The sequence below is a fragment of the Homo sapiens genome, chromosome 7 (assembly GCF_000001405.40).
Source record: "Homo sapiens chromosome 7, GRCh38.p14 Primary Assembly".
Classification (NCBI taxonomy): Eukaryota; Metazoa; Chordata; class Mammalia; order Primates; family Hominidae; genus Homo; species Homo sapiens.
The window spans coordinates 153,464,909-153,477,407 of NC_000007.14; the positions used below are offsets into that span (position 1 = coordinate 153,464,909).

The following is a 12,499-nucleotide window of genomic DNA, read 5'->3' on the forward strand; positions in this document are numbered from 1 at the left end:
AACCTTTTTTTCTCCCCAGTCTTGAGTGTGTCTTTATCAGCAGCATGAAAATGGACTAATACAGTAAGTTGGTACTAGTAGAGTGGGGTGCTGCTGAAAAGATACCCGAAAATGTGGAAGTGACTTTGGAACTGGGTAGCAGGCAGAGGCTGGAACAGTTTGGAGTGCTCAGAAGAAGACCAGAAAATGTGGGAAAGTCTGGAACTCCCTAGAGACTTGTTGAATGGTTTTGAACAAAATGCTGATAGTGATATGGATGATGAAATTCAGGCTGAGGTGGTTTCAGATGGAGACGAGGAACCTGTTGGGAACTGGAGCAAAGGTGACTCTTTTTATGTTTTAGCAAGGAGACTGGTGGCATTTTGCCCCTGCCCTAGAGATCTGTGGAACTTTGAACTTGAGAGAGATGATTTAGGGTATCTGGCAGAAGAAATTTCTAAGCAGCAAAGCATTCAAGAGGTAGCTTGGGTGCTGTCAAAGGCATTCAGTTTTAAAAGGGAAACAGAACATAAAATTTGCAAAATTTGCAGCTTGACAATGAAATAGAAAAGAAAATCCAATTTTCTGAGAAGAAATCCAAGCTGGCTGCAGAAATTTGTATAAGTAACGAGGAGCCAAATGTTAATACCCAAGACAATGAGGAAAATGTCTCCAGGGCATGTCAGAGGTCTCCATGGCAGCCTCTTCCATCACAGGCCTGGAGGCCTAGGAGGAGAAGGTGGTTTTGTGTGGATGGGCCCAGGGTCCCTATGCTGTGTGCAGCCTAGGGACTTTGTGCCCTGCATCCCAGCTGCTCCAGCTGTGGATGAAAGGGCCAACATAGAGCTTGAGTGATGGCTTCAAAGGGTATAAGCCCCAAGCCTTGGCAGCTTCCAAGTGGTGTTGAGCCTGTAGGTGCACATAAGTCAAGAACTGGGGTTTGGAAACCTCTTCCTAGATTTCAGAAGATGTATGGAAATGCCTGGATGCCCAGGCAGAAGTTTGCTGCAGGGATGGGGCTCTCATGGAGAACCTCTGCTAGGGCAGTGCAGAAGAGAAATGTGGGATTGGAGCCCCCACACAGAGTTCCTACTGGTACACTGCCTAGTGGAGCTGTAAAAAAAGAGGGCCTTCATCCTTCAGACCCCAGAATGGTAGATCCACCTACAGCTTGCACTGTGTACCTGGAAAAGTCACAGATACTCAACACCAGCTCATGAAAGCAGCTGGGAGGGAGGCTGTACCCTGCAAAGCTACAAAGGCAGAGCTGCCCAAGACCATGGGAACCCACCTCTTGCATCAGTGTGACCTGGATTTGAGACCTGAAGTAAAAGGAGATGATCTTGGAACTTTAAAATTTGACTGCCCCGCTGGATTTCAGACTTGTGTGGGCCCTGTAACCCCCCGTTTTGGCCAGTTTCTCCATTTGGAATGGCTGTATTTACCCAATACCTGATCCCCCACTGTATCTAGGAAGTAACTAGCTTGCTTTTGATTTTACAGTCTCGTAGGTGAAAGGGACTTGCCTTGTCTCAGATGAGACTTTGGACTGTGGACTTCTGGGTTAATGCTGAAATGAGTTAAGACTTTGGGGGACTATTGGGAAGGCATGATTGGTTTTGAAATATGAGGACAAGAGATTTGGAGGGGCCAGGAGTGGAATGATATGGTTTGGCTCTGTGTCCCCACCCAAATCTCATCTTGAATTGTACTCTCAGAATTCCCATGTATTGTGGGGGGACCTGGTGGGAGATAATTGAATCATGGGGGTGGTTTCCCCCATATTGTTCTCTTGATACTGAATAAGTCTCACGAGTTCTGAAGGTTTTATCAGCGGTTTGCACTTTTGCTTCTTCTTCATTTTCTTTTGCCACAGCCATGTAAGAAGTGCCTTTTGCCTCCTGCCATGATTCTGAGGCCTCCCCAGCCATGTGGAACTGTAAGTCCAATTAAACCTCTTTTTCTTCCCACTTTTGGGTATGTCTTTATCAGCAGCATGAAAACGAACTAATGCAGCCCACATTCTGTGATATCCACTGTATTCATTGGAATAGAACAGATATGCTGTGGTGGCAAAAGAAAAGCCCTGGAAAGACTGTATTTCTCACAACACTGTCAGCTATGGGTTGAGTGGCTTCTCTGCATAGGCTCCCCTGCAGTGCTCCCTTGCATAGGTCTTCTGCATGGGTCTCCTGTAAGCTCTCCTACATGGGTCTCCTGAAGGTTCTCCTGCTGGGTCTCCTGCAGTGTTCTCCTGCATGGGTCCTTTGCATGGTCTCCTATCAGCTCTCCTGTCTGAGTCTCCTGAAAGTTCTTCTGCTGGGTCTCCTACAGTGCTCTCCTGCATGGGTCTTCTGCATGCATCTTTTGCAGTGATTCCCTGCATGGGTCTTCTGCATGAGTCTCCTGCAAGCACTCCTACATGGGTCTCCTGCAGTGCTCTCCTACGTGGGTCTTCTGCATCCAACTTCTGTAGAGCTCCCCTGCATGAGTCTTCTGCATGAGTATCCTGCAAGCTCTTCTGCATGGATCTTCTGTAATGCTCCCCTGCATGGGTCTTCTGCATCCATTTCCTGTAGTGCTCCCCTGCTGACTATTTTGCATGGGTCTCCTGCAGTGCTCCCCTGCAGGGGTCTTTTGCATGGGTCTCTTGCAATACTGTCCTGCATGACTCTGCTTTGTGGCTTTCCTGTTGACACAGGCTCTCTTATTGGCAGAGATCTAAACTACTTCCATATTGCAGTGCCTCCATGTTAGAGTCCTTTCCTTCTAGCCACATGGTGAGAGGCAGTGAGAGACAGAGAGAGAGGAGAGAAAGGAGAAGTAAGATGAAAGTGCAGATGCCTAGAAAAGACACATACGCTGGTATTTGCCTCAGACCTCAGCTAGCAAGAGAGACACCATTCCTGCTCATGTCCCAAGAATTAGTTAAATGACCTCATCCAGGTATCCTGGTCTGGAAGTTAGGAGGATCATATGGGTACTTGGTGAGTAGGAATGGTCTCTGCCATGTCATATCTGGATGCTGTCTCCCTGCCCCTATTATCCTTCGAGAAGCCTTCCATAAGAACTCTATTTTGAGCTTTCCTTCAGCAAGATGGGTTTGAATTGTTTACTGACAGTCTCAGGTCAATGACAGAGCAATAAGATCTTTTAGGGAAGAGAGCTTGTAAATGTCTCTTATATGATGCTACCACCTTTTCTCCATCCCCTCAACCTTTCCTTCCACTCCTCCTCATTTTTCTCATTCACGATGCTAAGTGTGATGCTTTGCCCAACATAGGTGATCAACATGGGCTGGAAGTTGGGTGTTAGGCTTCATTGATGGCAGAGGGATAAAGGTTACTTTGATTATCCATTTGAGCAGAAAAGGGAGTCATGGCTTACCCGCTACATACCTGAGAAAATCATGGGGTTGTTATTCACCATAAGTGCATCACTTTGTGGTCAACATGTTGTGCTAATTATACAAGTGAATCTAGTCCCTAACTGCCTTGTGATTCTAGACTATAGAAGGTGACCATTCTACCATATCCTGGAGTATTGTGTTCATTTCTGGAAACCCTGAAAGTAGAGATTTGAACAAATGAGGAGGTGAAAGAACTGAAGCCTGGAGAATCATAAAAAGCATGACTTACATTCAAATATTTGTAGGTCTATATTATAGGCTGCTAAGTTGATAAAAGTTAATTTGTTTGACCCCAAGGAGCAAAGTATAATTTAGAGACAGATAGGTTTGAATTTCGTGTTCAGAAAAATGTTATTAATAACAGGAAGTTTCTGAAAGCAAAGTGGAGCTGTGAGTTATTGTCCATACATGGGCAGAAGCTGGTAGATCTTGCTGAGGTCATATTAGAGAAAGTTCCTGCATCAGACACAGCATGGGAATACCTGATGTGCTTTGCTTTCCTCTCTGAAATTCTGTTATACTCTTATCTTTGAGTCTTAGATGAGCCAACTGAATTTGGCTTTCCTCAGACATCATGAGGAAAATAATGTCCTTCTTAAGCCTTTAATAACTGTGTAGTGGGAAGGTTTGTCTTAAGAGTATATATATATATATTTTTGATGGAGTCTTGCTCTGTTGCCTAGGCTGGAGTGCAGTGGTGCAATCTCGGCTCACTGCAAACTCTGCCTCCTGGGTTCACACCATTCTCCTGCCTCAGCCTCCCGAGTAGCTCGGACTATAGTTGCCCGCCACCATGCCTGGCTGTTTTTTTTTTTTTTGTATTTTTAGTAGAGACAGGGTTTCACTGTGTTAGCCAGGATGGTCTCGATCTCCTGACCTCGTGATCCACCTGCCTCGGCCCCTCAAAGTGCTGGGATTACAGGCGTGAGCCACCGCACCCGGCCCCAGAGTAAATTCTTAGAAGTGAGATTGCTAGGATAAAAACCAAATGCATATGTAATTTTGTTGCATATTGCCAAATCCTCCTTCAGAGAGATGGTGCCTTTGCTGTTTCCACCAGCAGTGTAGGAGAGTGCGTTTCCCTACAGCCTCGCAAACAGAAGGCATTGTCGAATTTCCAAGTTTGCCAGTCTAATGGATGTGAACTAGGATTGGTGTTTTAACTTGCATTTCTCTTATAGTGAGAGGATCTGAACATCTTTTCATATGTTATCTTTTGTGCATTGTTGCTTCATGTCTTTGCTAATTTGCCTCTAAAATTTTTTTCCTTTTTTTCCTCTTAATTTTTAAAAGATGTTTCAAGTTAGGAGTATTAACCTTTTATGGGTGATGAATACTGAAAATCTTTTCTCCCAGTACTCATTCGTCTTTTAACTTCTTTGCTTACGGTGTTTACCATTTTGAGTAGTTTGTGTATTTGTTTGTTTTTAGTTTTTTGCTTTTGACATGCAAAAGTTTTATTTTTATGTGGTCACATTTATCTTTTGGTTTTCTGTATGGGGATTTTTAACAATTAGAAAGCCTTCCTCCATACTCAAGGTGCAGAGGGATTCCATCATGTTTTCTTCTAGTGTGTGTATATTTTTATTTTTTTTTACTTTCGGATCTCTGACATCTCTGGGGTTTATTTTGTGTGTGTGGTATCAGAAACGGATTTAATTTTACCTTTTTCAGAATTGCTCTCCAGTTGTCAAAGCTCCTCTTAGGCCTTGGATAACTTTGGTGGGGGGCAAAATTTTTGTTTTGAAACAAAAATTACTGCTTTGTTTCAAAACATTGGCCACCGCCCTGCTGCCTAAATCTAAACTCCTCAGGTGCTCTCAGGCCTGGCTGGGCTCCACCTCTTCACTGTACTGCAGACCTCAGCCTGATCCATGGTCTGCACTCCCGAGCACTAGTGTTCTTTGCCACAGAGGACAAAGCAATCCAGAAGATCCTCAGGCGCCACGTGAATTGCTTCTCTCACGTTAGTGCTATTGCCTCTCGTAAATGGCAAAGTCCTTGAAGGCAGCAGCTATGCTCTTCTATCTTGGGTGACCCTACAGCACCAAACTCAGACATGAGAACACAGTGAACATCCACAAGTGCTTCTGGACTTACGATATTTTGAGATGTGAACAAGACATGCTATCTCCCTAAAACACACACGATTCCTCCAGTCATGTCTCCTTGAGTGGCTGCTACATGACAGGCACTGTGTGACAGGCATAGTGTGATAAGCACGGGCACAGCAAAAACAAAGTCCCCTGGAGCACAGAGTGTGGTTGTGGACACCAGCAATAAATAAAAAAGCAGAGATGCAAGCTCATGGCATGGCAGGTGGCATGGACTTTAGAAAGAAGAGCAGGGAAGTAGGATCAGGGCTATGCTCAGTAAAGTGAGTGACTTGAGTGAAGTGGAGGGAGGACCCCGGTGAAGACATGGAGAAGGTGCATGCCAGGTAGAAGGTACAGAGGTGAGGATGCTTTGCCGGGAGGGAATGATCTTAGAGTTTGAGTAACAGCAAAATGCTTGCGTGTGGAGGGAATAAACTAAGGGAAGGGCTGGAGGAGCTGAAGTCAGAGAGAGAGGCAGGGGCTTTATGCCTCGTGGCCCCATTGACCACAGATGTACATGAAGGGAAGGGAGCAGAAACGTGGCCTGTGTGCCATGGTATATGTGGAAAATGGAACATCAGCCGCAAGTGCGGATGCAGCAAGAGTGGCAGGAGGCTGCTGGTGTCCGGGCAGGACACATGTACACATGTGGCCGAGGCTCAGTGGGAACAGTGGAGGGGGTGAGAGAGGTTAGATTTGGGATCTAGTGTGAGGATGAGGCCAGCAGAACTTTCCTCTGTGTTGAATGTGGGAGTGAGGGAAAAAGAGATTTAAAGATGATGCCTGATGCCTATGTTTCTGGTCTGCATAACTGATAGATAAGGGTGTCATTTTCTCATTTCCAAGTGGACCTAGCATCTCATGATTTCCCTGTTCATAGCATCTGGGTTCTGTCAGGTAACTGAAGCAGGCTGAACCTTAAAATGACCACCTCTCCAAGGTTGTAACCGGGGAAATAAATGCCGTTTGCGCCTAACTACCTTCATGAAGGATTCAGAGGCGCTCATGCTCATCAGCTCTGGCAGGCATTGATTCGGGGGAAGGGGGTGTTCAGCTCAGAGAGAGGCCAGCTCTCCTGCATCTGCTCGTATGGGCAGTTGGCAGAGAGAAGGGCAATGCTGACCTTAAACCAAGGTCAGGAAGGGTCTGTCGATAGGGTGGAGCCACCTGGCCTTTACTAATGTAGGAAAAGCTTTTCACACTATCCTCTGACTGGTTCTCTCGGCAGCATTTAGAGTGAGCACTGTGAGCCGGGACGTGCTCTGGGTGCTCTCGCTGCTCCCAGCAGAAGGGTTCAGCCCGAGGTGCAAGGTCAGATGAGCGGATTCCATGGTGTGCACGGCAGCGAGGCATGAGGGCAGTGCGGAGAGGAGCAACATGTCTCAATGTTAGGAGAAAAGAGAAATTCCTTCAAAGGGGTCATTGGCATCAGGAAGAGAGTATGGACCAATTCACAAAGAATACATTTCCCAAATAGAATTCCAAGCATTAAAAATGTATTGGGTATGCCTGTAATCCCAGCACTTTGGGAGGCTAAGGTGGGCGGATCACCTGAGGTCAGGAGTTTGAGACCAACCTGGCCAACATGGCAAAACCCCATCTCTCCTAAAAATACAAAAATTAGTAGGGCATGGTGGCGTGCACCTGTAATCCCAGCTACTTGGGAGGCTGAGGCATGAGAATCGCTTGAACCCAGGAGGCAGAGGTTGCAGTGAGCTGAGATCGTGCCACTGCACTCCAGCCTGAGAGATAGTGCAAGACTCTGTCTCCAAAAAAAAAAAAAAAAAAAAAAAAATGTATTGGGGAAAAAACAGCCATGTAAGACCTCAGGCCTTAAGGAAAGGGTGATGGCCAGTGCTTAAAGGAAAGAGAGAGCCTCAGTGCCCAGAAGGCGAGTTAAGGACCTACAGAAACTGGTGTTTCGTGTGGCCTGCTCTCTAAGGATATGGCAGAAAGGCAGATTAAGGGGTATAGTATCAAAAGGGAGGAAGCACCACAGTTGAACTGAGTCCCTGATACTATGGTCCAGGACTCTGAGATTTCACTCTCCAAGGACAGGATTAGACCCTCGGTCTGAGGCTGAAGGTTAAGTGCTTCCACCGGCAAAGAGCGAATGGTTGCTGGGGTATTGAGCCAAGAACAGCCACAGCGAAGGTTCACAGTGAGTGAGTGATACCGCTGGGAATCAGCCAGAAACAAAGCACCACCATAAAGAATATCACTTATAAGGATAGGACTTTCCTGTCCATTTAGGAATCACTGTCCTGGAAAACTCAGTTCCGTTCGTGTTGCCTTTGCGTTGGCCAGTCAGCGGTGCCAGCTGGAAGATACATAGACGAAGCTCAGTGGTGTGGATCAGGCAGGGTTAAGCACTGACAACAAAGTCATGGTAGGGAGACCACATGGAAAATGTGACCAGAGAAAAGATCCAGGAGAAAAAGTGTCTTGCTTGGTACAGGCATCTAAGACAGCTGGATTTTTCTTGAGTCTTTTTGGATCCTGTGGTCAGCAGAGTAACCTGATACATCTTGGGTGGCGGTTAACTATTTGTTTCAACTTGGTGGGGCCACAGTCCCCAGACATTTGGTCATTCTTGTGGGTGTGCTTTGAGGGTGTTTTTGGGAGAGATTAACATTTGGACAAGCAGACTGAGTAAAGCAGGTTGTCTTCCTTAATGTGGAAGGACTTCATTCAATCAGTTGCCTGAACAGAACAAAAGGTTGACCCTTCCCCTAGTAAAAGAGAATTCTCCCTGCCTGGTGGCCTTCAAACTGGGGCATCAGCTCTTCCTTTTTCTACAGCAGCTGCTGCTCTTCAGACTCAGACTGGATCATTGACTCTGCAGATTGTGAACTTGCCAGCCTCTATCTATCATCTCTCTATGTTTCTGCCTGTGTGTCTGTCTGTGTGTCTGTCTACCTACCTACCTACCTACCTATCTCTCCTGTTGCTTTCTGTTCCCCTGGAGAGCCCTGACTAACACATCTTATTATAGGATTAGTCAGAACTCCCAACAATTTTGCCTGGTGAAGTCTGCTCAACAGCTGCCAGGTTCCAAGGTCAAGCGTCCAAAAAGGGAGAGGGAACCAGCCAGAAGCTGTATCATTTTAAGACCTGACCTTGGAAGTCATTCAGGGTTCCTTCTACCAGCTTCTCTCATTAGAAGTGAGTCACTAAGATGACCTGTATTCAAAGAAAGGGAAATTAGAGCGCCTTGTTAATGGAAGAAATATAAAAAATTTGCAGACATGTTTTCAAAGCACCATTTTCCACTCTCTGGCCATAATTTATTTACATTTCTCCCACTCTCTTACCTCCCCTCAAGATCCCACGTCTTATCTGTTGTGGGATCAGACTCACAATCTTGTCAACTGAGTAGGTCCAAGTGCAGGTCAGGTGAGTGAACTGCTGAAGATGTGAACAAAAGAAACAAATCACCCAGTTCTCCCACTCTAGAAATCCTAAGAGCACTGAGGGAAGGAACTGTATCTCTTTTTAGCCCCCATGGTGCTTAGCACAAAAAATAGTGAAGGTTGTTAAGACATCATCTTGCATTTTTTCTAAAGCAATAAACATAAATAAATAAAACATCTACATCCCTCCTTTCTGTTCCCAAGTACAGAAGTCGCCCCCTCCAATCCATTGTTTCACTTTCCTCAGTTTCTGTTACCTGCAGTTCACCATGATCTGAAAATGTTAAAATATTTTCAGAGATAAAGCAGCTATATTCACATAACTTTTATCAAAGTAGGTTGTTATATTTGTTTTATTATTATTTATTATTTTGAATCTCTTAACTGTGCCTAACTTGTAAATTAAACTTTATTATAGGTATGTATAAGAAAAACAGCATATAGAGAGTTTGGTACTGTCTGCAGTTTGAGGCAACCACTGGGGGTCTAGGAACATCTCCCATTTGGATAAGAGGTAAGTACTGTAATAGAATTCCTTGCCTTTGAAGGTCAGAGGTTGCAACAGTGGACACTGCAGGACCTCAGAGAGTGAGCAAACACTTGTGCTCTGTGCACATTGCAGACATGTTTTCAAAGCACCATTTTCCACTCTCTGGCCACAAATTATTTACATCTCTCCCACTCTCTTACCTCAGTCAGCACTCACAGGGGGAGGGCTTTACAGCTCAACCAGAGAGCACTAAACCCTCTTAACTTTCCAAATGACTGTAGCAATTTCACCTTGCTCCTGGGCCCTGCCCAGCCAAGGTTTCTCTACATTTGGGATTTAAAACCAATTGGAAAATCAAAGTAGTAGCTTTGTATAAGGGGTCCCCAGCTACTCTGTTGGCTACTTTTACAGCCAAATCAATCATGGTTAATAAACTGAGATACTGAGAGGGTGGAGACACTGTCTTCAACTGGAACCTTGTTCTGACTCCATGACCAGGGATGCCTAGGAATAAAAGAAATTAGTCTCCTCCTCTCCCCCACAGTCTTCCATTTCTTGCCCATATTTCCACTAAATGTTTCAGAGTGCCCACACATGCATACTCCTACGAGAGAAGCTTGGGCTGTGTGCTTTTCCCCACCGTGCTATGAAAGTCAGACCATGTGTGCTAAGTACAGGAGCTGAGAAAATCCTATAAACAGAGTCCTAATATAGGGTTAACAACATTCCACCTCTAGGTCAGAAATTTTATGTAGACCAATAAGAAAGCACAGAGAATATGTACATTGATTTACCGTTTACGATTATTGGCTACCATGTATTGGGTGCCCTTGAAGAGCTGGATACTATCCTAAGCATTTTATATATTTTATTCATATTCTTCAGACCTTTGCAATGTAGCTGTGCGGATGTGGGACTTAAAGCATGGAAAAGTTAAATAGCTTGCCTAAATTTTGCACAGCTGGGATGTGAATGCAATCTCTCTTGAGTGCACTTCTCAGCTTGCCATGTAAAATTACTGACATCCATTTGACCTGGTTGTGCCTGTCACCTTTGCAGCCCTCTGTGTAGTATTCCCAACTCTCCATGAAGTTATCAATTTGCTAAAAATAATTTCTGTGGCTGATGGATTTTTAATGTAGCGTGCTGTCTCAGGCCCCTCCCTAGAAGTTTATGGCCAAGAAACTGAGCGGTGGGGAGGCTTTTGGAGCTCCTGCTAATGTTAGCAGACTGTAGGGCTGAGGCTACCACTGGTCTGATTTCTGCCTCTTCTTATTTTTAATGAGGTCAAGGGCATCCACTGGCAAAGGGGAGGGGGCTGTCTCTCCCGACAGTGTCTGGGTACCTGGAGCTCTCTGTTGACCACTCTTGTTTCTTTTGCGTCTCACACACAGCCTGAGGTCAGAGGCAGAGACATTACTCATAACTAATTCTTGTAGCGTACATCATTTAGACTTGGTTACCCCCAAATTAATGAAGAGAGAGGAAAAACCTCTTTGTCTTTCAAATACCACCTGTTCTTCACGTCCAAAAGACCATTTCCTCACTAGATTCTGTGAAGTGGGCCTTGCCTCTAAGGGGGTTGTGGACAGGCAGAGAGAGCAAACTCGACTCTGAGACACAAAGTAGCAGAGGGGGTTGTCCTGTATCTCAGACTGGACACAAAACTGGCTCTAGAGACAGTTTGGACTTGGAATTACCCCAAGAGAGAAATGGTTAGGAGACTCTGGTCATGCAGAACGTAGAGTGGTCTAGTGGGGAAGGCACCAGCTTAGGAGCCTGGAGAGCTGAACTCTAGCTTGGGTTCTGTCAGAAGCTAGCTCCTGGGAAATGTACTTCACCCCTGAGCACCTGTTTTCTCATCTGTGGCATGGGGATGATAATTCTCGTCTCATCTCCTTTGTGAGCACTGTCAGTGTGAAGTCATATATACAACTTGGTTTGTGAAATTGTAATTCAAAGTGCTTTTCTCTGTCTTCTCCATGGCCTGGCTTCTCGGCCCTGTTCCTGGCTCCTCCAGCCCCATCTGCTTCCTGCTTGACATTTTTGTCTATGCAGTCATGTCTGTGCACATCCACATGAGCCATGGACTTGTAATCCTCCTCTTGCCAGCTTGGACACCTGGCCTGCCTGGAAGCTCCAGCCATGCTCCTGCAAGCTTTACTTTAGGGAACTCACATTACTGTCATCTGGAAAGATGGGAAAAGGCAGGAGGCAAATATTGTCACTAAAAATGTGCTACCATTAAAAGATTCTGTGAAAACACAGGGAATTATATAAGATATTTAAGATATATTAAGGCTGGAAGCAGTGGCTCATGCCTGTAATCCTAGCACTTTGGCAGGCTGAGGTGGGCAGATCACCTGAGGTCAGGAGTTCAGAACCAGACTGGCCAACATGGTCAAACCTCATCTCTACTACAAATACAAAAAAATTAGCAGGGCATGGTGGTGGGCACCTGTAATCCCAGCTACTCGGGAGGCTGAGGCAGGAGAATCACTTGAATCTGGAAGGCAGAGGTTGCTGTGAGCCAAGATCATGCCACTGCACTCCAGCCTGTGTGACAGAGCGAGACTCTATCTCAAAAACAAAACAAAACAAAAAAGATATATTAAGATAATAGCAGAATGGAAAATGAATGATAACAGCAGAATGGAAAAGAAAGAACGGTTTAAATATATAGCACTCAGTCACTAAAGACTGAATGAATAAATCAAAGAGAAAAAATTAAACGAACTCTACAAAAGTTCAAAATTTCTGTTCTTAAAAGAGTACCATTAAGAAAATAAAAAGACAAGCTTCAGACTGAAAGAAAATGTTTGCAAAATTATGTATCTTATAGCATATATTTACTATACCATCCAGAAGTTTTCCTAATTATATACTTAAGAGAAATGAAAATATATGTCTACATGAAACTTTGAACATTAATTCTCATTGTAGTGTTATTCATATTAGCCTAAAACTAGAAATAATCTAAATGTTCATTAACAGGTGACTAGATAAACAAAGTGTATAAATCTACATCAATATCAGTATCTATGTGTATATGTCATGGAGTAGCACTCAGCCATCTAAAAGAGGAAAGTGTTGGTACAAATTGCAACCCCTG

At 44.8% G+C, this 12,499-nt stretch overlaps 1 annotated feature.

Annotated features, from left to right (window-relative positions):
* Positions 736 to 887: a silencer, noted in NCBI's record as "fragment chr7:153162729-153162880 (GRCh37/hg19 assembly coordinates)". NCBI's record gives its function as "represses an EF-1alpha promoter that drives an FKBP-Casp9 reporter gene in an ReSE screen in phorbol 12-myristate 13-acetate-treated (for megakaryocytic differentiation) K562 erythroleukemia cells {active_cell/tissue: K562(+PMA)}" and the evidence as "EXISTENCE:reporter gene assay evidence [ECO:0000049][PMID:32094911]".